At 46.3% G+C, this 26,349-nt stretch overlaps 1 long non-coding RNA gene across 3 annotated transcripts in view; it reads left to right on the top strand.

Annotated features, from left to right (window-relative positions):
• GPR84-AS1 (GPR84, ZNF385A, ITGA5 and GTSF1 antisense RNA 1) overlaps positions 1 to 26,349 on the top strand; it is a 113,340-nt gene that overhangs the window by 65,843 nt on the left and 21,148 nt on the right. Inside the window, exons 1-3 of one of the 3 annotated variants that reach the window (NR_120488.1) lie at positions 252 to 420; positions 8,324 to 8,392; positions 17,299 to 17,574. The exons of 1 other annotated variant lie outside the window; for it this stretch is intronic. This is a non-coding gene — a long non-coding RNA (GPR84, ZNF385A, ITGA5 and GTSF1 antisense RNA 1). Of the gene's footprint in view, positions 1 to 251; positions 421 to 8,323; positions 8,393 to 17,298; positions 17,575 to 26,349 lie in introns of those variants that run through there. One more of the 3 variants, NR_120487.1, reaches the window with a different exon arrangement.

The following is a 26,349-nucleotide window of genomic DNA, read 5'->3' on the forward strand; positions in this document are numbered from 1 at the left end:
GATGTACAACGTAAACGCTCGGAAAACGAGTCGGAAAAGGGAGCGGAGAATTTCCTAATGAGGAAAGGAATCACCTCTGGTGGGCGGAGGAAGCCTGTATATGTGTGTGGGGTCTCCCTCAGTGCTTTAGGGAGGAGACTTTGGGGTCTAAAGAGACAGGAGACTCCTCTGGCGTCCGGCCAACTGGGATTCCCCCTTGCCTTCCGGGGCCGCCGGGTGCCTGGGTTCTGGCCAGCTGGATTTGGGACACAACAGTTGAGGTACAGAGACAGCGTTCGCAGTCAGCTTGCTAGAGGACCTACACGGGCTCCTCAAGTTCCGCTGCTTCCTCCTCCAAGCTTGCTAGTATTGAAAACCCAGGAGTTTGGGGTCATTCATCAGGAGGATTCTGCTCCAGTTTGCCCCCTTCTTGGTCCTAGGGTATGTAAACCTCTGCTGAGCCCCTTCCTTGGATCTGACAGTTGACCAAAAGCCTGCGAGTGGCTGGCCCCTCAGTACCTGCTTGATTAAACTGGCCGGGTTCCTACAAACCTGGAGAATTGTGAGAGGTGGTGGTGGTGGTGGAAAGTCTTGCAAAGGGACCCAACCTTCAGCTCCTAATGGCTGTAAACGCTGGGAGCTCTGGCCAGGCACGGTGGCTCACACCTGTAATCCCAGCACTTTGGGATGCCGAGGTGAGCAGATCACCTGAGGCCAGGAGTTCAAGACCAGCCTGGCCAACATGGCAAAACCCATCTCCACTAAAAATACAAAAATTATCCAGATGTGGTGGTCCGCACCTGTAATCCCAGCTACTCGGGAAGCTGAGGCAGGATAATTACTTGAACCCAGGAGGCAGAGACTGCAATGAGCCGCGATTGCACCACTGCACTCTAGCCTGGGTGACAGAGCAAGACTGTATCCAAAAAAAAAAAAAAAAAAAAAATCCAAAAACCAAAAACCAAAAAAACAATGGGAGCGGAAAGCCAGGACCCCATTCTTCCCAGATTCCCCTGTGGAAGTAGAGGAAGGGACTCTAGAAAGGGAAGGCAGTGACCCCCTGCCCACCTCTTCCCCAAGCTCAGGCTCTGTGTGATGAGATCACTTTTCAGGATTCTAGCCTTTATCTTAGTCTGGGGGAGGGGACTACAAGTCCTTTCAGTCTCTTTCCTCCAGGACTCCTCACTTTCCAGAATAATACCCTGTCAATAATATCCTGTCAACCCTGTCCCTTCTGTTCTCCAGTCCCCTGCCCCACTTCGGGCTGAAAGGCTCAGAATAAGAGTGCCCAGAGTCAATGTTTTTTTCCTGCCATGACTCTCCCCCTCACTCTGCTACTCCACTTCCTGTCCCAAATCACCCATCTGCTTTTTTAAAAGCCCCCCTCCAGAGCCAGCTGCAGCCCAAGGGAGAGGCTGGCTGGCCAGACTGTGGGGCAATGCTGGCCCGTATCCCATTCTCACATCTGCAAGTCCTGACCCTTTCTTAGGTGAGGAACCCAGGGAATCTCTGGGTCAGGATCTTTAAGCCCAGCATTGCCAAAAAGGCAACCTTTAGGTGAGAGCTACTCAAGCCATGGGCTGGGAACCCCCTTTGGGAGGAGAAGGGCTGAGGCCTGATTGCTTTTTAGCCCAGCAAAACACGTGTGTGAACCAAACACTCTCCTTTCTCAGTCTAGGCAAACTCTTTAGATTTTCCCAGGATTTGGGAGATTAGGGGTGGGGGTGGGGAGGGGTGCAGGGAAGGAGGTGTGTGACTCAGCTCCTCCCAGGAGCCTTGGTGGGGGACAGGGGACATAGCGTCCTGCCCCAGTCCTCCTCCCCACTCCACCCCTAGCCTTGGCCAACTCAAACAGGCCCCCTCCCTGTCCATTCCCTGCTCCTGTTTACACCGGGAGCCCCTTAGTCATTCTTTGGCTGGCCTTTCTACTCTCCCCAATATCCCTCCTCTCTTGGCTCTTTCTGCCCTTATAAGTCCTCTCCCAGTGGCCCCAACACCTCCTGCCTTTCCTCTCACCATGCCTGCCTTTGCCTGATCCTCTCTTCCTCTGCTCTGGGTTCGTCCTTAACTTGGGGTCCCCTCCTAATTAGAGCTACTTCAGCACAGACCTCCAGGCCTGGAAGCTGACCTAGAAAGGCCAGTGAGGAGGGGATAGAAGCCATCAGTCCAATCTTCTCCTTCAGAAGAGGAAATGGGTGTAGAGAGATGAAGTGATTTGTCCAGGGTCATATGGCTAGCCAGTTAGCGGTGAGCCTAGAACCTAAGTGTTTAGACTCCAGACCCAGTGCCTTCTCCTCTAAGCCCACTGCCCCTCTAAATGATCTATCTCCTCTCAGCTTTTTCTTTCTATCTTGTATATCTCTCAGCCTTTCTCTGGCCAAGTTTGTGTGTCTCCAAGTGCCTCTGCTTTTTCTCTTAAACCTGACCTCTTTGGTACCCTCTGTCCCTTCATTGCTCAGTAGGAATGATTTGCTGTGATGACTGACCATTATTAATCATGGTCTGCTTGATGGAGAGGAAGAAGGGTGAAGGGCAAGGCCAGGACACTCAGCAGGCTCCTGTTGTCGCCAGCCTGCTTGCCCTGAAGGCTGGAGTTTTAGAACCACAAGAGTGAATTTCCACAGAGGAGTTCAGGATACAGGTGCAAGTTCTAACGCCAGGGGTCATGCTGAATTTTAGTAGTGTGGAAGAGGGGTGGGGAGTACTGATAATGGTTTATTTAGCACATGCTGTATTCCTGGCCCTGGGCTTGACCTTTAATCTGCCTCTATCCCATTTATCCCAACTTATCCAGCACTGAAGGTATCATGATCCTCATTTTACTGTTAGGAAATCGAAGCCTAAAGGAGAGAAGTGACTAAGCGAAGGCCAACAGAAAGGGGCAGAGGTAAATCCAAACCCAATCCCAGTAGATTTCAGAGCCGTTGCTTTTCCCACTGCAATGTCAGCCCTGTAAACCGGCTGGGTTTCTACAGAGGTATGGGGGAAGATTCTAGAGTAGGAATTATAACCTAGATCCATTGTCCTTGGGGTGGGGTGGGGGAAGATTGGGTATACAATCCATTAATCCTCTGAAACTGGATGGAAGTTTTTGTTTATATGCATGTGATTTCTCTGGGGTGAGACTCAGTGGCTTCTTTAAGATTCTCAAATGCCTGGAAATTCTGAGAACACTAAGGCTGGATGCCTTGGTTTTAAGAAACAGACTCAGGTCTTGTTGGGCTGTAAAAAGTCTGATTGGGTAGAGGTGGTAGAGGCTGAGGTGTCCATGAAATAAAACTTCCTAGGCTGGGTGCAGTGGCTCATGCCTGTAATCCCAGCACTTTGGGAGGCCATGGTGGGTAGATCACGAGGTCAGAAGTTTGAGACTAGCTTGGCCAACATGGTGAAACCCCGTCTCTAGTAAAAATACAAAAATTAGCCACGCGTGGTGGTGGGTGCCTGTAATCCCAGCTACTTGGGAGGCTGAGGCAGGAGAATTGCTTGAACCTTGGGAGGCAGAGGTTGCAGTGACCTGAGATTGCACCATTGCACTCCAGCCTGGGTGACAGAACGAGACTCCATCTCAAAAACAAAACAAGACAAAAACAAACAAGCAAACAAAGAAGTTGGATCTCACAGAGGGAAGGAAGGTGGGATATTTAGGAAAATTATGAAGCTGAAGGCGGGGGTGGGGGGATTTCCAGAAGTAGAATAGGAGCCCAGTTATACCAGGATCCAGAGACTGCTGAAGCTGGGGAGTTGTTCTGTGTGTGTGTGCGTGTATGTCTAAGAAAGGGAAATTGGAAAGTACAGGAGTAGACCATTTGCACCCTCAGGCTCTGTTGCTTCTCTGACTCAGGTCTCTGCCTAGAGGAACTGAGGGCTCTATCATCTGTGAGTCACCTCCACCATCCCTACCCGCTGTCTGACCCAGGAGAAACCCCTCCCCTGTGTCCTATGCCTAAAATAAACCCAGGCTCCTCTCCTTTTTCTATCCCCAGTTTGCACAGAGCACAGGAGGGGTGGATGGAAGATGTTTACTAGGGTGACAAAAGCAGACCTTAGCAATAAGATTCGTGGGTTCTATTGTTGCTCCAGGACTCCGAACCCAGTGATTAAGACTGTGACTAGAGCCAGATGTCGTGGCTCACGCCTGTAATCTCAGCACTTTGGGAGGCTGAGGCGGGTGGATCACCTGAGGTCAGGAGTTTGAGACCAGCCTGGTTAACATGGTGAAACCCCGTCTCTACTAAAAATACAAAAAATTAGCTGGGCATGGTGGCGGGAGCCTGTAATCCCAGCTACTCAGGAGTTTGAGGCAGGAGAATCGTTTGAACCCGGGAGGTGGAGGTGGCAGTGAGCCGAGATAGCATCATTGCACTCCAGCCTGGGCGACAGAGAGAGACTCAGACTCAAAACAAACAAACAAACAAAAAAAACCTGTGACTAGATACCTCTGTGGAGACCAAACTGGGAGTTTTTCCAGGCGAGACTAGGTTGGAGAGGCACATGGAGACAGGGACTAGGGGATGGGCACTGACAGGAAAGGAGCAGAGCTAAGAGGACACTGGGATACAAGATATAAGACCCAGGAATCCAGATTAAGCAGATCAATGGGAAGGAATTTCCCCCACTCTTGCTAATGTCTTCTCTTCCAAAAGTTCTTCAGTTTTTCTTATTTATTTATTTATTTATTTATTTATGGCATATTTAGAGGCACCAGAATGCTATGGCAAAATGTAACAACCCCAGATAGGAAGTTAAAAGGAAAATAAGATCCTCTGGGGTGTCCTAAGCATTGACCTCATTTTATTTGCTTACTCATGCCACCCCCATGACTTTCCTTTCTCTCCCCTTTGCTGCCTTGTACCTACCTCTGGAGAGGAAAGGGGTGCCTGAATCTTCTCAGCTCAAAGGCCTGGCAGTCAGAGGAGAGAACCATCCGGGGTGGGAGCTGTGGGTGGGAGTGTCAGCTTCTTGGGATGGCCTTCCCAGATGTAAGCACATCTGGAGCCCATCAGGAAGGGACCTGGAGCACCAGGATTCCCAGTGCACATCCGATTGGGGCTATGAGGGGTTGAGGATGAGCCAGGCGTTCCCTCCCACCTCCACAAGTCTGCCTGCCATTTCCAGCCCTCTCTTGGGAAGGATTATCAATCCCAGACAGAAAGGGCATTGGAAAGAGGTTGGGGAGGAAGGCAGGAGGGCCACCGATTGCACTCCAAACCCAGACATGCTATGTTACTAGCTTCAGCTCTTTCTGGCTTTATAGAGATAACAGCATCTCTGATCAGGTAGGAATCAGGGTGTGTGTGTGTATGTGTAGAGCATAGTGTGCCATTAGTCCTTAACACAATGGCACAAAGTTGGGGATGGGGCACAGCATGTCCCTCTCCTTGCTTTTCATAAGTCTTCCTCATGAGCTCTCTGGACCTCTGGCGCTCCTCATCTCTCTACCTCCAAACACATACACTCCTTCCTTGGCTGCAAATTCCTCCCTGTCCATCATCACCTCACAATGAGCACATTTGTTTTCCAGAGATCATGTACAGGGCTAAGAATAGGTCCATCCCCTTGCCTTTCTCTTCAGGGAGAGCTAACCTGTTGGGGTGCTGAACTAGGGGATAAGTGGGGTTTACAGAAATTCCTGCAAAGGTTCCAAGTGTCCCCAGCAGCCAGTGCATAAAAGTAAAATGGAGAGTCTCTGGGGCTGAGATTTATGAGCCCAGTAATATGGAGCACTCCTGGGAAGCAGAGCCCCCTCCTTTTCTTCCAGAGCTATAACTTGAGGAGGAACAAAGCCTTAGAAGATTCTTAACCCCTGGACTCCAAGGTTGAGGCTTACTAAATTGAGATAATAGTATAAAAGAAAGTAATGTTGTATACAGTTTATACATTCACAATTCACAAGTGATTACTTCTGGGTCTAATGTACAAAAATATATTGGACTTCCTACCTTACCTGCAGTAAAGGTTGAATTGCATTCTGTCCTTTGAATACCCACACCCCCGACCTCTGGCCTCAGTCCTTGATTGGACTTCAAAGCCCTAAGGGAGAAGCCAAGAGGAGGAGCTTTCTGACCCTTCAGTTTATATTCCTTTCAACAGATGTCCAGCAGTTGGGAGGTTGGGTACCCTCTTCCAGTCTCTAATCTACATGTGGCTAGAGGGTTCCAGATGACAGAATTGTGGAACTGGGAGGTAGGGCTAGGGCTTCCAGGTCTCTGAGATAGAAAAGGGGTGTGTGATGAGATTGACCTGGGAAGAAGAGAAGTTTGGGGTTTGATTAAAGGGCTGGGTGCCTAGGAACAGGAACGGTGGGATGGCACTCCAAGCTTTCACCTCTAGGGAGAGTGGCCCTCCCTTCAGGCCACACTCTTCCATCCAGTCGGCCAGGGCTGGCCACACCCCCACAGCTGGCTGGGAAATCTCAACCCTACCCCTCTCTACAAGCCAATTGCTTACAGATGTTCTAGGAAGGGGGGTTGTTGAGAGGAGGAAGGGCAGGATAGGGGTAAAGGGAAGGAAAACTCAAGGAAAGAGGGAAGACTCATGGAAGGGAGAGAAGAAGTTATGGCCAGGTGGGGAAGCCTGTCAGATGGTGAAGAAGTCAGAGAGAAAGAAACAGTTGAAGAAAGAAAGAGAGAAAATGAAAAAAGGGTCTCATTTTCCCCTGAAATCCACCCTACTCTTTGCAGGCAAATTAATCTTCCTAAACCAAGGCTCTGATGATGTTACTTCTCAGATCAAAACCTTTCATGGCTCCAACATTTTAACTACTAAAGATCTGTCTGCTCTAAGATTCCTAGAATTGTGCAAGGGACATTAACTAATAAGTGCCATTGATCTAAGTAGTATATATTTTTGAGTGCTTACTATGTATAAAGCTCTGTGGGCTATGCTGGGGAGAAAAAGGAGGGAGAAGGAGGGGGAAATGGGTGAGGTTGGAGACATAAATAAGAGCAAAGAGGTAGACAGAGAGGGTTCCGCGAGAGGAAAAGACAGAGGGGCAAGGGATTGGTGAAGGAGAAGGGGGTGGAGGAACCAGGAAGGAGGATCCTAGAAAGATGGTAGGAGAGAGGAAAGGAGAAAGGAAAGGGGAAGCGCATAATAGAGATGGGGGACAGAGGGAAAGGAACGTGAGGAGAGGGAGGGCAGGGGTGCAGAGTCATGGAGAGTGGGAAATATACTTTGGAAGACTGGATGGAGAGACTAATCCTTTCCTCCTGCCAGGTCAGGAACTCTTCATTGGCCAATGAGAGGCAGTGTAACACTGGTCTGCTCCTTCCTCTGCCACCCCCAGCTTCCCATTTAGGACCCAGCTTTCTATGTCCTTTGTCATTTTGGGGTCATTGAGTTGAATCTATTCTTGAGTTCCCTGCCCTCCCACTCCCACCCCGGGGGACCAATTTCTGAAGTCATCTTCCCCCCACTTATTACACTGCAACCTAGTCTCCCTTGTCTTTTTTGGTCCATCTTTGGATTTATTTCCCTGAAGTGGGTGGGCAGGAATGAAGCAGACTAGAGGTGCTTCCAGATCTGTTCCGCCCTTCATCAGTGTCCACCCTTCCCCTCTGAACCAGTCCAAGACTGCGACATTTGTGTCAGAAGTCCCTTTGGCCCCTTTCCTGCTCCTGAATCCCTGGAGTGGTATTTGGAGGTGGGAGGAGGGGTAAGGTCCGAAGTGGAAAGTCTGACGCTGAGTCCAGGCCCCCAGCCCCACTCAGACTGGCTGAGCTCATCTCTCCAAGCAACCGCAGCTGGACATTTTCCATGTGATCACCTCAGGGAGGGGGGCTGGGTTCCAGAAACCCAGACAGAGTTGACTGAGTATCACAGCTTAGGAACAGAGCACCCTCAGGTGCCTCCTCTCCGCCTTCTCCTGTGTTTTGCATGGGAAAGCCCTGGGGGAGTAGCAAGGAATGGAGAAACAGACCTGGAGAAGGGCCAAAGCTGGAATATATTTTGGGCCCAAGTTGACCCAGGTTTCTACATCTTTCCCATGTTCACCATTTGTGCTGGCCAGGCTGGGAAAAGATCCTGTGTGATGTGAATGTGCCTGTGAGGTGAAAATCTCCCTCTCTGTGTGTGTATGGTCTGAAAACCTGAACATGCTTGTGTTGGTGTATTTGCATGGGTGGGGTATCTGTATCCTGATCTGTCAATAGGCTAAAGTTGGGGGTGTGTGTGTGTGTGTGTGTGTGTGTGTGTGTGTGAGGTGTGATTGCCCCTGCTCTCTTGCCAGTGCAGTGGGAGGTGAGATAGCAGTTTGGGGAAGAGGGCTGCCTGTTCTTACAACTCTCCCAACCCTCCCCACTACCACATCCCTTCCCAAACTCATGGTGTTCTCTTTCAACTGCAGATACTGGAGGGCCAGAGAAAGCAAGCTTGAAACAGAGAGGAACGGGTCACTTTGGTGGAGGAAATTGGGGTAAGGGAGCTTCTGGAACTGGCTAACATGGGAGTGATCATCTAGCTATTGATGCAGGGGCTGCTGTGAGAATAGCCCCGGCCTCTGCCATGAAGGCTGCTGAGCTGGAAGCTTTAGAGGGCGTTTCGTGTGGGTCTCTGCACTCCTTTCCCTACTCTGCCCTGGGCCTGAGATGTCTGGACAGGCTGGAGGAGGTTGGTGGAGAGGCAGGGAAGGGTATGGGCAGGAAGCACTTGGCTGTTTGTTCCCTCTCTTTCCTGACTCCTTTGTGGCAGCAGACTGGCTTCCTTCCTTCTCTCAGCATCTTGGCTCCCAGCTCATTTCCGCTTTTATGCCTTTAGTCTGGCTCTCAGCCTTGCACAGCGGAGTTTTTCCAAGCCGGGTCTTCTGGGCATAGGGACTCCTAGATGAGTGGGGCAGGGGCTGAGGAATGCAAATGAGATGTCAGTGTGCCCTTCCCTCAGCCCATTCAAAGTCTGTAGCCCTGGATTGAATGAACTGGAGGAGAAGCTTATTTGCCAGGGGATGGGAAGCAGAAACCCAGGTGTTTGGTTACCTGGGGCCTGCCTCTCCTTCAGCCTGAGATATGGAGAGAGCAGGGCTGGAAGGACTCCCTACCCCCACCTCAGCCTCGCTTCCCGCTCTGCGTCCCTACTTGGCTGTCCTTGCTTCAGTCTGCCCCTGCCCCACCTCCCACCTCCAGCTACTGCCCTACAAGTCAAGGAATGTAAGTTTTATTTCTCACCCTCTCATTGATTAGTCATGGGCACCCCGATCCCCACGGGAACCGTTACTCACCCTTGGGCCCCCCCTCACCAGCAGTCTCCCCAGAACTGGCTGGGTTCCTGTAGGAGGAGTTCACAGCCAGCCGTTGGACTTGGGGGGAGGTAGTGGGGGTTGTGGGTGGTGGGCAGTGTCCTGGAGACAGCCACTTTTGGAACAGTGGTTTGACCTTATTATGGCCCGGAAGCATGAGTCTCTCCCTCCTCCCAACACACACATATATACACAGAGACGTTGTACTCCTGGTTCTAGCTACTTTAATCACCATGGGTATTTTGTCAGAATAGGTGAGGTTGGGGTAGGGGAAGTGTCCTGTGACTGTCTGGAGAAGAGCCCAAAGCAACTGAACATTTAGTCTCTTCACTGGTGCTGGCTTTGGGGGCCAGGACTAGGGCCTGGGGCCTGCTCTTTGGACTTGGCTGAGTGCCCAGGCCTGGCCTCTGTCTCCCAGAATCAGACAGGGGCCTTTCCCAATAAGGAGCTTCCCAACTCTGGGTCCACTTCCCTGTTGCCCCCACCCCTTCTCCCCTCTAACAGTTCTTCTGCCCTAAAATGGCCACGTTTTGCCTTTCTTCCCTCCCCTACACCCAGGTTTGGGCCCCAGGGGTAGAGCTGGGGGTTGGATAAGGGTAAGACTGCACAGGGGCCAGATGGGCTGGTTTGGAGAAGGGTAATGAGATCCCAGGAAGAGAGAGGAACCGTGCCACATGACTCAGGTATGTATGGGGGGTGGAGGTGGAGGCACGGCTTCCTGGAGTTATTGTCTCTCCTATAATAATAATAGCTTATGCTTTATGCTATATAGTATGTGTTCTAAGAGCTTTATATGAATTAACTTATTTAATTGGCACTGCCCCTTTATCAGGGAGGTACTATTGACCTATTTTATAAGATGAGGAAACTGAGGCACAGACTTGCCCAAGGTAAGCAGAAGAGCTGGGATTCAAACCCAAGCAATCTAGCTTTACTTTAGGAAAGACCAGCCCACTACGTTTATCTTTGGAATGCTTGAGCCTCACTGGCAAAGGCAAAAGGAATGCCTTTATATGGGGTGGTCATGCTCACAGAAGCTGCTGGTCAAGTGTACCCCACTTTGGACCTAGGTGTTGGATTCAGACTAAACACTTTCAAAGAAAGCCATTGACCCATTCTTCTTTTTCTTTTTAAACTAATTGTTTGTAGGAACGGGGTCTCACTATGTTTGCCCAGGCTGGTCTCGAACTCCTCGGCTCAAGTGATCCTCCTGCCTTGGCCTCCTAAAGTGTTGGGATTACAGGAATGAGCCACTGCACTCAGCAACAAATTCATTTTTTAAAAACAAATCTAGGCAGGGCGTGGTGGCTCACGCCTGTAATCCCAGCACTTTTGGAGGCCAAGGCGGGCGGATTGCCTGATATCAGGAGTTTGAGACCAGCCTGGGCGACATGGTGAAACCTCGTCTCTACTAAAATACAAAAAATTAGCTGGGCATGGTGGCACATGCCTGTAATCCCAGCCGCTTAAGGAGGCTGAGGCACAAGAATTGCTTGAACCTGGGAGGGAGAGGTTGCCGTGAGCCAAGATCATGCCACTGCACTCTAGCCTGGGCGAAAGAGTAAGACTCTGTCTCAAAAAAACAAAACAAAAAACAAAAAAACCCCAAATCTATTGATCTATTGTTGAATGATATGCAAGTGACATACAGGTTAGCATAGAAGCCATCTAAGTGTGACTGGAGGTGGAGGAAGGGAGGAATGCAAGAAGGGGCAGAAATAAGAATTAGAGAAGACCCAGGAAAATATGGAAGAAGCCAGTAAGCCTGTATGTAGAAGGACTTCCTTGAGCGTTTCTCCAGCTTTTGCTCATGTTTTAGGCAGTTAAAAATAGTGATTTATTCTACTCACTGAGAGAGAGAAAGGAAGAAGGGGATGAGAATTCTTTTACCCTTGAAAGCACACAGGGACTCCCTGGGCTGGATCCAGGTACTTGACTTGGAAGTTCCAACTAGAGCAAGTCTGCCCTTCTTTGGCTCCCAATTTTGTCTTTCCTAAATCAAAGGAATTGGGCTAGGTGATCCTTGAGGTTCCATCTTACCCCAACACATTCAGATTCTCATACAGGAACTCAGGGGAAAACCAGGGTTGCGGCTGGAGTCCTTGTGTGGGGGCCAGGAATAAACAAATAATTGGTAACCAGGATGAGCTCAGTGATCTAGGGGAAAGGCTCTGTAGGGGGTGATGGGAAGGAAGCCAGGAAAGGAGAGACCAGACCCCAGAAAACTGAATGGAGCATGGACTCATTCATTCATGCAACCATGTACCTTCAGAAACTAAAACCTAGGGGCCGGGCGCGGTGGTTCACACCTGTAATCCCAGCACTTTGGGAGGCTGAGGCGGGTGGATCACGAGGTCAGGAGTACAAGACCAGCCTGGCCAACATGGTGAAACCCCGTCTCTACTAAAAATACAAAAATCAGCTGGGTGTGGTGGCGCGCGCCTGTAATCCCAGCTACTCGGGAGCCTGAGGCAGAGAATCACTTGAACCCAGGAGGCACAGGTTGCAGTGAGCCGAGATTGCACCACTGCATTCCAGCCTGGGTGACAGAGCGAGACTCCGTCTCAAAAAAAAAAAAGAAGAAGAAGAAAAAAAAAGAAACTAAAACCTAGGAATCTGAGCTTCCCATTCAACAAGGTTATAATGAGCCCATGGGCTCTGGATGTCTAGGAAGGGCAAACTCCCAGGTCCCTCCCCAATTTTTGAGGTATTACAGGAAAAAACAGCTAATAGTTATCAAGTACCAGGTATAGATCTAAGCATTTTACATATGCGACCTCATTTAACCTCAAAATAATACTATGAAGCAGCATTTTATATCTTTCAAATTGATTTCTTCATTTAATCCTCCTCAACTGCCCTCTAAAGTTAACAAGGGCATTTGACTGATGAGGAATCTTTGAAAGTGGGAAAAGATGAAACTAGATTTCTAGTAGAATTTTCTAAGTGGTAATGGTGGGAGCCCCTGCAAGGAGTTAGAGGATTCTCACTTCCTAGCAAGATCTTTTCTGACTCTAGGCTTCCAGATTGTGGGGGGTGGAGTGTGCTTTCCAGATCTTGATGAATGGCAGATAAAGATATGCATCAAGTTACTGATCAGGAGCAAGAAAATGGCACTCTGGTGTCTTTGAGAATGTTTCTAAGAAGTCTCTAGAGATAGAAACAATCACAGGATTGAGGATTACCTTAAATCTGCAAAGAGACCTTGACAGGCCAGAGGCAGAATTCTGAGTGAGTTAGCTCCCCTTTGTTTCTACCAACTGCTGGTCAGCAGCAGGAGAGAAGGAAATTAGATATATGGAGGGATTTATCTATTGTTTGGGGCTGATAGGAGAATCCTGCCTCCTGTGGGTAATAGTGAAGTTAATTCTTCTATCACTGTAATCAGCAGGAGTTAGAGGTGTGAGTGGTAGTGTTAGTGGAGAGGGGGGATGGTAGTGAGGATGGGCTTGCCTGGAAGACCTCTGACCAGCTAGAAGAGCCTGAGATTTTGAGGGGGAGGAGATAATTTGCCAGACGGGTACTTGCGGAGAGGGTCCAAGTGTTTGGGCTCCAGCCTGGGGTGAAGTCAGAGACATAAATCACACCTTCCAACTGCCTGTTTCCGCTTTGAGCTCAGTTCCCAGCCAAAAGCCCAGCTAGCCTGCCAGAGGAGTAAGCGTGTGGATGGGGGAGGGGCCAAAGAGCTGGAAGCTGGTGATTGGGAATGGGCGTCATCAGCTGGGAATCTGGTCTCATCAGGGTCATGAAATGGACTCAATGCCAGGGCTGGTAGAGCAGGGAGCCCAAGGATCTCAACAGAACTGCTCTGTAGATACCTCATCCCACGTGAGACACACCCACAACCACACCCTGTTTGCTGAATTCTCCTCTCCCACACATAAAAACCACTGGGACGTGCCTGGAGGCACAGACACCTACATAGACACACCCCCCACCCCCATCCAGCTGTTGCTCACTTGTGCCAGAAAACTCTACGTCTCCTGGATGAGTAGACCTAGGAGAAATGAGTGCGGGTTGAGAGATAAGGAGGATCCTGGATCTTCATTAAGATCTGGAAACACTTTTCTCTAGTAATCTTAAAGCCCTGTTCTGTGTCATCTTTTTGCCTTTCCCCACTGGGGATGGGTCTGGGTGATTTCCCTTCTCACTTTAGGAGAACCTCAGTGGTCTGTTGTCCTCTTGGTGGGCAGTGCCTGCTAATCACAGTGATGGCAGAGCAGGAGGCAAGAGATTGAGTGTGCATGTTGGGCGGGGTAGGTGTTTGAGGGCAGGAAATCCAGAAAGCCACTCAGACAATGGCCTTTTCCGCACGCTTGGGTCCAGGCTGCAGGCTGCTGGATCCTGTCTGACCCTAACAGCAGCTCCTATTTTTCCCTCTGGTTAGCTTCCCACTCAATGCTCATTTCGGGGCATATAGGAGAGGCAGGATTCCTTTGGAGGAAAGGTATCCTGTTCATCAGCCCTTTTCCAGGTGACTGTTCGGGTTGACCACAAGGATTTGGGGGCTTAAGTAACCTTATCAAGCCTGGGACCACCCCACCCATGCCTAGTGTCCTCTTAAATGTAGCATTTGTTATGGCCTCCTACATGGTACAGCTGTAAGCACTTTGACATCTTAAGGGAATCATGATGCTCTTATTTTGGGCTAAGTTTGCCCCATTTTGTTCTCTGAATTGTCTGTTTGTATCCTATTAGACTGGAAACTTGAATGAAGCAAAGATTGTGTCTGTCAATTGGTACAGCCCCGGACTAGCATTAGGAAAATAATATGTCTTTTGATATTCAAGGTGACAAAATGATTACAATGAAGATAGAAGATCTTGGGAATGCTGGAATATATTTTTTCCTAGAAAAGTGGGGGTAGGTCACAGCTACCATGGCCACTTAAATGGGGGTAAAATGACCCTGAGGTCTCCAATCTCTCCCTTCTCCTGTACCTGGGAGAACCAGAAAGCTTCTTTCTAATACACCTTCTGCTTTAGTCATTTGGGTCTCAGTGTCTCAGTATTGTCTCACTAATGTGCCCATTTTGTCTTCAGCTTTGCTCCTGTGATTCCAGTGTCTGGAATGCACTGTCCTCTGTACTGGTCATCAAGGCCCATCCAAGCCCTGCATAAGCTTCCCCATCTCATTCTTTATTTTATTTTATTTTATTTATTCATTTTTTTTTTGAGACAGAGTCTCGCTCTGCTGCCCAGGCCCGAGTGCAGTGGCGCCATCTCGGCTCACTGCAAGCTCCGCTTCCCGGGTTCACGCCATTCTCCTGCCTCAGCCTCCCGAGTAGCTGGGATTACAGGCGCCCACCACCACGCCCGGCTAATTTTTTTGTATTTTTAATAGAGACGGGGTTTCACCGTGTTAGCCAGGCTGGTCTCGATCTCCTGACCTCATGATCCGCCTGCCTCGGCCTCCCAAAGTACTGGGATCACAGGTGTGAGCTACTGCGCCTGGCCTCTTTATTTTATTTTAAAATATTTATTTATTCATTTATTTATTTATTTGAGATGAAGTCTTGCTCTGTTACCCAGGCTGGAGTGCAGTGGCGTGATCTCGGCTCACTGCAACCTCTGCCTCCTAGGTTAAAGTGAATCTCTTGCCTCAGCCCCCTGAATAGCTGGGATTACAGGTGCCAACCACCATGCCTGGCTAATTTTTATATTTTTAGTAGAGACGGGGTTTTACCATGTTGGCCAGGCTGGTCTTGAACTCCTGACCTCAAGTGATCTGCCTGCCTCGGCTGCCGAAAGTGCTGGGATTACAGGTGTGAGCCACTGAGCCTGGACTTCCCCAGCTCATTCTAAATCTCAGCAATGTGCCACTATTCTGAAGTCCTAGGCTTATAGTCTGGAGTACATGGTCTAGCACTTAATTATCCAGTGTATTAATAAAGTCCTTGTATAATTTAGAAATTGAATACATTTGAATGCACCTATGATAGAAGCAACTCTAAATATTTTATGAAAGCATGTTCCATAGAATTTTTTTTTTTTTTTTTTAGACTGAGTCTCGCTCTGTTGTCCAGGCTGGAGTGCAATGACACGATCTTGGCTCACTGCAATGTCCGCCACCTGGGTTCAATGATTCTCCTGCCTCAGCCTCTTGAGTAGCTGGGATTATAGGCACGCGCCACCACCCCCAGCTAATTTTTGTATTTTTAGTAGAGACGGGGTTTCACCATGTTGGTCAGGCTGGTCTCGAACTCCTGACCTTGTGATCTGCCTGGCTCAGCCTCGCAAAGTGCTGGGATTACAGGCGTGAGCCACTGCGCCTGGCCAGAATTTTTAATGATAATGTTTGCTTTTTGTTAATGTGCTTTTATTTTATACAGGGAAGTCATCTGAAAAGACTTGAGTTTGAAAGTTGCCTCCCTTACTTAACAGATATGTAACCTTGGCAAGTTACTTAACCTCCTTGGGTCTCAATATCTTCACCTGTAAAATGGCAGTAATATCTTTCTCATAGATTTGTTGGGATAATTAAACTAATATACTATATGTATGGTTACAGTACTTGGTTATAAATATTAAAGCCTCATTCTGTCTGTTGATAAATCTGAAATCTATTTAAACTCTGATGTGCTCTCTGTAATGTTGTTTTTTGTTTTGTTTTTTTGAGATGGAGTCTCACTCTGTCGCCCAGGCTGGAGTGCAGTGGCGTGATCTTGGCTCACTGCAACCTCTGCCTCCTGGGTTTCAAGTGTTTCTCGTGCCTTAGCCTCCCGGGTAGCTGGGATTGAATGGAATGTATTTTATAGATCAAGTCTCAGCACAAACACTGATTCCTCCAAGAAGCATTCATTAATTCCCCACCCAGTACTCCTGATTTCACTAGTCACAGCATCTACCCCACTATATTGTATTTTCCTGTTTGTCTCTCCTTTTAGACTAAGTTCTGTGAGGTAAGGATCTTGTTTACTTCTGTTTTTCCACTGCCAAGTACGTTGCCTGGCTAAACAAATATTTGAATAAACTGAACCTGTTTTTAAAGCAATGGTAAACATAACACAGCAACATTACAAAACTAATTTCTGAATTGTGTGACATTGTTTTTTACAACGTAGTCTTCTAGCAAGATAGCGTTTCTTACTATCATGTTTTTAATTTGCATCTAATTATTGAATTGGATCCAGAGATGTGGTCCAATTACTTGTTAACTTTTGTCACCTGACCTGTCCCCACAAATTATATTTTATAAGTGTGGCAGAGACCACTCATTCTCATCATCCTGTCTCTTCTTCCTTTTAATAATATGACTCTGCTACCCTGCTATCCACACACTAAATCTTAGCAGGGTGCATGGCTGCCAGCTAGATACTACACTGTCCAGTCTGTCTTGCAATTACAGGTGGTCCCATAACTACGTTCTGGTCAATGGAATGTGAGTGAAGCAATGTGTGTAACTTCTGGGTCATGTCTTTAAAGAGGAAAAGTAGTTGCTCTCTCACTCTTTCATCCTTCTGCTTGCTATGACATGGTGACACATTAAGCAGCCACCATGGACCCAGAGATGCAAGCCTTTTCTACCAAAGACCATCTGCTCCATATATCTCTGTACTATTACTTTATTTGAAGTAAGAGGGTCACTATATTTGTGGGTTTCTTTGTTATAGCAGCATGGCTAACATCCTTTGAATGAAAATTAAGATAACCATATAATTCATTAAATCCCTTAGCCTACTCTGAAGAATGTTTTCAAGGAGTGCAAAAAAAAAAACCAAGTTTCAATGAAAATAGCGTTTACTGAAGTCACTTATTCAATGGCATTTTGTGAAAAACTATGAAATTTATTCTATCATGAGCATATTCAAAGTTCTTGTAGGTTTATAAACATACTAGCTCTTCTATTTAGCGTTACTTTTTATCATAACTTTGAAATCCCAGATAGATTATGTGGTAGCCTCCAAGATGGCCTCATTGACCCTCCTCTCTTGGTATTCATGCCCTTTGTGTTTTCTCTTCCTACACTGAATGATGGCTGGCCCATGTAACCAACACAATACTGTAGAAGTGACATGTGTAACTTCTAACATGAAATCATAAGAGACATTGCAGTTTCCACCATGGTCTCTCTCTTGGATCTCTTGCCAGCCACCAAGCAGCCCTATGGAGAGGCCAATGTGGAGAGAAACTGAGGCCTTCCACCAAAAGCCAGCACCAACTTGCTATCCATGTGAGTGAACCAGCTTGCAGTACAGAGTGGTCAACCCCAGTCAAGCTTTCAGATAACTACAAGCCTAGTTGACATCTTGACTACAACTTCAAGAGAGACATCAAGGCAGAACTGCTTCGCTAAACTGCTCTTGAATTCTTGACCCACAGAAACTGAGAGAGAGAATAAATATTTATTGTTGTTTCAAGTAACTACATCCTGGGGGTAACTTCTTATGTATAGATAATATATACCATAAATTTCTTGAAAGTAAGATTCATGTCTTACTTATTTTACCTCAAGTTATTATATCAACTACTCTCCCACCCCTAACCTAGGTGATTAGAGCATACTACAACATCTGATACATAAGAAGTGAAATGATATTCTCTTTGAAATTCAGCATAAGGCAACTCAATGAGAGAAAACAAGATATTAATTAGTCTGACTAGCTTTTCTTCCCTGAGGGCATTTAAGATTTCTCAGGGTGGAGGTGAGGACAAGTGGTAGAACTCAGTTCTCAGATGACTATTGTTACTTGTCATACTGGAATCTCCCCAAATTCTCTGTTCTCAATAGTTGAATATTTTCTTCAGCCTGGTTGTATATGAAAGCTCTGGTAAATGGAATGTTTCCAATATCCTATGGAAACTCACCTGGGCAAAGGAAGTGAATCAATGTCTGGAGGGAAAGTAAAGGCATTCCTCTCTTCACAGGATAAATTCAGGCACAGGTCCTTTACCAGGGACCAGGTGAACACTCAACAGGCAGGAAGAATTAACAGAGTCAGCCCATTGCAAATATAAAGGGGCAGGAAGAGACTCTAGTGAGAAAGGGCAGCTGCTGGTGGTGGCGGTGGTGGGGTTGGGTGGGCAGTGGAGCAGAGATCAGAGACATATCGGCCTTAGACCCAAAATTTATCTCTATATATTTAAAGATGGGATCTTACTCTGTTACTCAGGCTGAAGTGCAGTGGCCTGATCATAGCTCACTGCAACCTCAAACTCCTGGGCTCATACCATCCTCTCACTTAGGCCTCCTGAGTAGGTGGGACTACAGGCATGTGACACCATACCTGGCTAATTTTACTTTTTTTTTTTCTTTTTTTGAGATGGAGTTTCACTCTTGTCTTCCAGGCTGGAGTGCAATGACACGATCTTGGCTCACTGTAACCTCCACCTTTTGGGTTTAAGCCATTCTCCTGCCTCAGCCTCCAGAGTAGCTGAGATTACAGGCACCTGCCACCACGCCTGGCTAACTTGTGGATTTTTTTTTTTTTAAGTAGAGACGGGGTTTCACCATGTTGGTTGGGCTGGTCTTGAACTCCTGACCTCAGGTGATCCACCCACCTCAGCCTCCCAAAGTGCTGGGATTACAGGTGTGAGCTACCGCGCCCGGCCTAATTTTACTTTTTGTAGAGACAGGGCTCTTGCTATGTTGGCCAGGCTGGTCTTAAACTCCCAGCCTCAAGCAATCCTCCTGTCTTGGCCTTCCAAAGTGCTGGGATTACAGTTGTGAACCACTGCGCCTGGCTTTGATACATATTAATATAATGAATATTACCCAGATGAGCATCACTTTCTTTTTAAAATAGTAGTTTTAGATTCTTTTGGTTACAAGGCTGACTGGAGCCTCCAGCCTTCTCACTCTACAAAAGATTAGGAGATCTGGATCTCTGATATTCAAATCCCTGTAGTGGGTCCCCAGTGGTGGGAAACAGATAGTGGGAAAGGGACATTGGGAGCTCAGAACTTTCATTTTCCCACTCCTTTAGTACTCGGTTCCCTTAGCTCAGACATAGCTTATGTCTGGGGTCACATGGGGTTCTGTGGGTGCTAGACTGGTCAACTTCAACAAGGCAAAGTCATTACTTCTCAGAACTGAACAGCAGATGTTGGAGGAGGACAATATTCTAGATATCATCTAGCCCAATGTCCTCATTTTAAGCAAGGCCCAGAGAAAGGGAATGACTTGCCCAAGGTCATACAGCTGATGTGGGATAGAATTCAGGTGTCTTTATTCCAAGTCAGCTCTTTCCATCATGCCACATTTGCTTTCATTCAGTAGGATAAAATAACATACCATTTTATCCTACTGACTCCCAACTTCCAGTTCTGGGTTGGGAAGGGTCAATTTCCAGACTTTTCTTTTCCAAGGATAGGACGAAGAGACTTTGCTACTATTTTCAGGCAAAATAGAGCATTGCCCCCTTTCCCTGCCTCTCTTTCCTCTGTTGTTTTCAATGAGGAACTGAGTCTATTTCTCTACAGGCAGGAGGTCTCTCAAGTTCTGAGCTCCATTCAGTTTGTGGCAGGGAAGCTGATAGGTGCAATGCTGTGGGATGCCCTTCACCTTGGCAGGCTGATTGTACCCAACTGGTGGTCATGGCCTAGTGCCCATTGGCAGGCAGGGTGTCCACTCATGCATTAACTTGATGCCAGATGGCTGGCTGAATACCTATAGTGCATCTTGTCTGGTCTGCTGTTCCCGGTTTGTGTCACTTTTAGATTTGTGTATGTGTGAGAATTTTAGGAGGGTGGTCCCTCCATGGATTTAAGATACTGGCATTTCCAGATTGGCAGAAGGGAGGACACCTTACTGCCAACCTAGAATCTGTGCTGAATAGCACAGGACCTGGACTTCAGGAAAGTTCTTCAAATGTCTCTGTGATCTCTCTCTTCCCAACTTTCCCCCACTGTAGAGTTCTTGATGTCACTCCTCCCTACGTGGTATGTACCTCCGTCTCAGCCAAAGTGTCTAAGAATGGGAAGGCAGAGAAGTGAGGTATGTGTGGGTTAGGATGAGTGGACTGGGAAGCAGAAAAGGCACGCTGCTTACTCTTTCCCACAGACTTCAGAAGACTCTGGAAGCTATCTAGTGCCCTAAAATTTCCACTGCAGTCCCAGACAACCTTAGACTATATCTCCACCTACTGGACACCAAGGAGGTTGACAACACTGTCTCAGTTTTTTTCTTTAGAACTAGCATAGAGTCTAAAAAAACCTCATCAATACTCTACATTTATCCCAAGGTTAAATCATTCCCTCTCAGAATTTGTTGAAGCTATGGGGGCAGATTGACTGCCTTTTCAGGGAGACTGGGTACTAGGGAGACTTGGGTACAATTTCCCCCATACACTGCTTTCTCAAAAAAATCTGTTGGCCAGGTGCAGTGGCTCACAAGTGTAATCCCAGCACTTTAGGAGGCTGAGGTGGGTGGGTCTCCTGAGATCAGGAGTTCGAGACCAGCCTGGCCAACGTGGTGAAACCCGCTTCTCTACTAAAAATACAAAAACTAGCCAGGCGTGATAGCGCGTGCCTGTAATCCCAGCTACTCTGTTGGCTGAGGCAGGAGAAGTGCTCGAACCCGGGAGGCGGAGGTTGCAGTGAGCCGAGATTATGCCATTGCACTCCAGCCTGGGCGACAGAGCAAGACGCTGTCTCAAAAAAACAAAACAAAACAAAACAAAACAAAACAAAACAAAACAAAACAAAACAAAACACATCTCAGGGGTTAGATCAAGAGCCTCACTTCCTTGCTTCAGTTGCTCTGGATATAGGTTGGTTAAACTCTATTCACCTCCTATGCTCATAGACAGAAAACAGCAGGTAGGTGGGGTTAGATCAGAGGGTCCTTGTTAGCCTTAGGGCAAGGGGAAAGCAATCTTAAAGAATTGCCTTTTCCTCGTCTCTCTGTCTGCCACCTGACTCAGATATGGGAGACACTGGGGGTGTCCTCTACTGTTCTTTTCACATCCACCAGCAGTTCTCTTCCTATGCTCATTAGCAAAGACAATTCCATTAGAACCCATTAACAATCATTTTGTCCATGCTGAAACCATGGGCTAGCTATTCACCAAAGTCCCTGGGCTATATCTTCAGAAGTGAAGGTTGTATATAAGTAGTGACAGCTCTCAAATGAATCCTTTATTGGTGAAATGGGGACGATGTCAATACATATCCTCAAAATTGATCAGGGTGCACAATAATATCAATTTATGGAGGTTACAGCACTAGGAAAACAATTTACATCAGATCCAGAAATTTACTCTCCTTCTCCAGCTGAACATCTAACATGGTTAAGTAAGAAGCAGTCATTTCTTTTTTATTTTTTGGATGTCTGGTTTTCACTTAAAACATGCCCTTTAAATATCTTTCAAATTTTTGTTTTAAAGGGAAGGAGTCAAGAAGAAATTAAGACAATGTTGGGGATCATCTTATGCTACATACAGTTCATGTCATTTCTGTATTACGTATCTTCAGTTTATTCATTATAGTTAAGATATATTGAGTGTTTACCGTTAAAACTCTTAAAAACTGAGGCTGGGCGCGGTGGCTCACGCCTGTAATCCCAGCACTTTGGGAGGCTGAGGCGGGTGGATCATGAGGTCAGGAGATCAAGACCATCCTGGCTAACACGGTGAAATCCCATCTCTACTAAAAAAGTACAAAAAATTAGCCGGGCGTGGTGGCGGGCGCCTGTAGTCCCAGCTATTCGGGAGGCTGAGGCAGGAGAATGGCGTGAACCTGGGAGGCGGAGCTTGCAGTGAGCCGTGATTGTGCCCCTGCACTCCAGCCTGGGCAACAGTACAAGACTCCGTCTCAAAAAAATAAAAGCAAAAAAACAAAACTCTTAAAAACTTTAATGCATTTTTCCCACTTATACCTTTAAATGATCTTATGAGATAAATACTATACTTTTATTATCTTCATGTTCTTAATCACTACTATGCTTTTATTTTTATTTTGATACAGAGTCTTGCTTTGATGCCCAGGCTAGAGTGCAGTGGCATGATTTCAGCTCACTGCAATTTCTGCTTCCTGTGCTTAAGCGATTCTCCTGCTTCATCCTCCTGAGTAGATGGGATTACAGGCATCCGCCACCACGCCCGGCTAATTTTTGTATTTTTAGTAGAGACAGGGTTTCACCATGTTGGCTAGGCTGGTCTTGAACTCCTGACCTCAAGTGATCCACCCGCCTTGGCCTTCCAAAGTGCTGGGATTACAGGAATGAGCCACTTCGCCCAGCCCCTATACTCTTTACTTTGTGATTTGTGTGTAGATTTTTAAAGAACTTGGGTCCTTAAAAATTCAAATAGTATAATTATCTTCCTTCCTAATTTTAGTATTTTAGTATATTCCTAAAAGCCTTCATTCAATAATATGTGGTTTCAGAAACTATTGTGCATACGAATTAATATAAGGGGTACTGCTAAAAATAGATGCCTGTGTGCTGCTTCCAAATATTCTGATTCAGGAAACCTGGATCAAAGCCTAGGAATCTGCATTTTTAAAGCAAGCCCCTAAAATAATTGTGATGTAGGTGACAGTTGAACTATGCTTTGGGAAACACTGCCTTTGATTATGAATGGTATTATGGTAGGGCTGTAACTAAAACAAATCTTCGTGTGTCCATCTCATTTAATTGGCTCCACATAGCAACAGATACAACACTGGGGTTTCTATCGTTCTTGGCTAAGAACTAAACCCTGCTCATTCACTTATTTATTTATATATTCTGCAGCAAGGAGAGGTAGCCCTGGGGCCTGTCTGTTAAAAGCCCTTAGAAAAGAGGCTATTACATTAAAAAAAATTTTTTTTCCTTTCTCCTAACCTGAAACATCTCTGTGCAAAGGTTTGGTTAAGGCTGTACAATTTGACATGTTAGCCCTGGTGATTCTGCAGTTCTTCAAAGGAGAGGGCTGAGAAGCAGCTGTTATTTTTTTCTACCTTTTGACATGCACAATGCATGGGGCAGGGTAAGGGAGGAGAGTCAAGGGACTAAGCTGGAGTTAGTAAACAAGCTTTGAAGCACAATAAAAAAGCATATTGGCAGGGGAGAAATCAAGGGCTATGTAATACCACAGCATCCTCTGAAGACAGCAGCAGTCGCTCCTGGATCGTCTCTATTTTTGGGGAAATAACAACAACAAAACAGTACTGGCAAACTGTCCCTCCGCTAACATCTGAAGGTTTGTCTGAAAATGTTCTGAAAAGCAGTTCACACCGGAGAAGCAAGAGAATGAAGGGCAAGTCTTGAAGGAAAAAAAGAAATTAGGGCAAAAACTCAGCAAGTACCTCAAATAGCCCAGAGGAAGTTGCAGGGACTTAGCGGAAAGCTCCATTTAATCTCTGGCCCAGCTAACATAGCCTAGAGGACACTTTCAATGTACTTTTTTTTTTTTTTTGGTAACAAGCCTAGCTTTTGAGGTTGTGATGAGCCCTTCCAGCTCCTAGAATCAGTGATGGTTCTTTGAAGAATTTTTTCCCTGCTTAACTTCTGGGGACAGATTAACTAAAACCCCCAATTGGGAAATTAGGGAACTCCAAAGCTGCTCTGTGTGTTTAAAAAAACTACATTTGACTCAATATGGTCAGGGCAAAAACCCTTCCTTTTCTAGGTTACTTTCTCCTCCCACTGCTTCTCTCACCTCATCTGGATGGCCTCAGAGAATATTTTAAGGTTGACAGGAAAATTTTACAGAATGATCAAAAGTAAAGCAAGCCCTAGAAATGGTTGCATAATTTTCCTTTTCATTATAAAAATACTTTTTTTCAATTGAATAACTAAAAAACATGAAATTTTATTGTTGGACTGAACCTTACAGGTCATCTAGTTCAATTTGTTCATTTTATAGAAGACAGGATTAAGGCACAGAATGTTTAACTGACATTTCCAAGGTCACAGGGCTCATCTTAGACTCAATATGTTTGTCTGACTGCTAGTTCAATGTTACCTCTCAACTGCTTTCATAATCACTTTTTTTGAGACAGGGTTTCATTCTGTTGGCCAGGCTGGAGTGCAATAGTGCAATTATAGCTCACTGCAGCCTGAAACTCCTGGGCTCAAGGGATCCTCTCGCCTCAGTCTGTAGCTGGAACTATAGGCAAATGCCACCATGCCTGGCTAATTTTTAAATTTTTTTTTTTCTCGTGGAGACGGTCTCGCTATGTTGCTGAGGCTGGTCTTGAACTCCTGGCCTCAAGTGATTCTCCCACGCTGGCCACCTAAAGGGTTGTGATTACAGGCTTGAGCCACTGTGCCTGGGTATAACCACTTTTGTCAAGTAGGTTTGCCTGTCCATTTAGTACTCAACTACTATAGTAACAGTTTTTTTTTTTGTGGGGGTGGTTTGGGGGGTGGTTTGGCATATGGTACATATTTCTCTGAGCTTTGAAAATAACTAATTTCCTTCCAAAAAAAAAAAGAGAGACTTACCTCAATCTTTTTTTCTTCTTTTTTTTTTCTTTTATTATTATTATACTTTAAGTTTTAGGGTACATGTGCACAATGTGCAGGTTAGTTGCATATGTATACATGTGCCATGCTGGTGTGCTGCACCCATTAACTCATCATTTACTTCAATCTTATTATGAAAGTAAACATTCAAAAACCCCAACACACCCTAGAGCAAACTCTCAATGCTCCAGGTACTGATTATCCAGTTTCCTTTATTCTCTCTTCTGTGGACCATGTACTTGGATGTTTACATTAGTCAGTAGCTCTATAAAAAGTCTGATATTACATATGTTGTTGGACTGTGTGGCAGTTTCCTGATCTCTAGATTGTAGCTATGGTGCTATCTTCTTAAACTTAGTATTCCAGTGGTCATCAGAGGCTGTAGCTCCTTTGGTGAGTTAGTTCAGTAGTGTTCTGAGAGTCATTCCTAGAGGTCTCACATATAGCCTGCTCCTTCAGCTATTCAAATGATTTTGTAAGTACCTAATTTTCTATATTAAATTCCCTTTCTGCTTAAAATATCAAGAGTGGTTTCTGTTTCCTTCTAAACCCTGAAAGATACAAGCATTAAGAAGCTAATTACAACACAACTCAGTAAGTATTATTAAAAAAAGAGTGAACGGGCCAGGCGCGGTGGCTCATGCCTGTAATCCCAGCACTTACATGCCTGTAATCCCAGCACTCATGCCTGTAATCCCAGCGGAGGCCAAGGCAGGCGGACACAAGGTCAGGAGATCGAGACCATCCTGGCTAACATAGTGAAACCCCGTCTCTACTAAAAGTACAAAAAATTAGCCGGGTTTGGTGGCAGGTGCCTGTAGTCCCAGCTACTCGGGAGGCTGAGGCAGGAGAATGGCGTGAACTCGGGAGGTGGAGCTTGCAGTGAGCCGAGATCACACCACTGCACTCCAGCCTGGGCCACAGAGCGAGACTCCGTCTCAAAAAAAAAGAAAAAAAAAGTATGAATGGGGAAAAGTAGGAGCATAGAACAGGGAACTTGGAAAAATTACTCCAGAGGTAACATTTAAGTTGGAATTGAAGGTGGAATAGGAATATGCTAAGCAGAAAGGCATTGGGAAGGGGAGGGAACAAGTGCATTTCAGGAAACAAGATGTGCTGAGGTATGGTTATTAAAGACCACCATATATTAGAAAGACGGTGAGTTCGCCATGGCTAGACTATGAATAGGATGGGGAGAGATGAGGCTGTAGCAATCATAAAATACAGTGGGGTTAAGAGTGCTGCCTTTAGGGGTAGCAGACATGACTCCAGTTCTGGTTTCTCCATATAGTAACTAAACAACTCTGGTCAAATCTTGTAAGTTTGAGGACTTTCAGCTTCCTTATTTATCAAGGAAGGACTTGTATCTTTACTTGTAGGCACAGTATCCACTTTATTATGTGGAATTAAATGTGACATGCATATGAAGTACATTGTATAGTACTTGGTGCATACCAAGTGCTCATAAGCCTTTGCTATTACTCTTTTATTTATTTATTTATTTTAGCCAGGGCCTCACTCTGTTACCCATGCTGGAGTGCAATGGTGTGAACACAGGTCACTGTAGCTTCTAACTCCTGGGGTCAAGCCATCCTCCCGCCTCAGCCTTCCAAGTAGCTGAGACTACAGGTATTTGCCACTATGCTTGGCTAAATTTTTTTATTTTTAGTAGAGACAAGGTCTCTTTATGTTGCACAGGTTGGTTGTGAACTCCTGGGCTCAAGTGATCCTCCTGCCTCAGCCTCCCAAAG

This window comes from Homo sapiens, chromosome 12, assembly GCF_000001405.40.
Source record: "Homo sapiens chromosome 12, GRCh38.p14 Primary Assembly".
Taxonomy (NCBI): domain Eukaryota; kingdom Metazoa; phylum Chordata; class Mammalia; order Primates; family Hominidae; genus Homo; species Homo sapiens.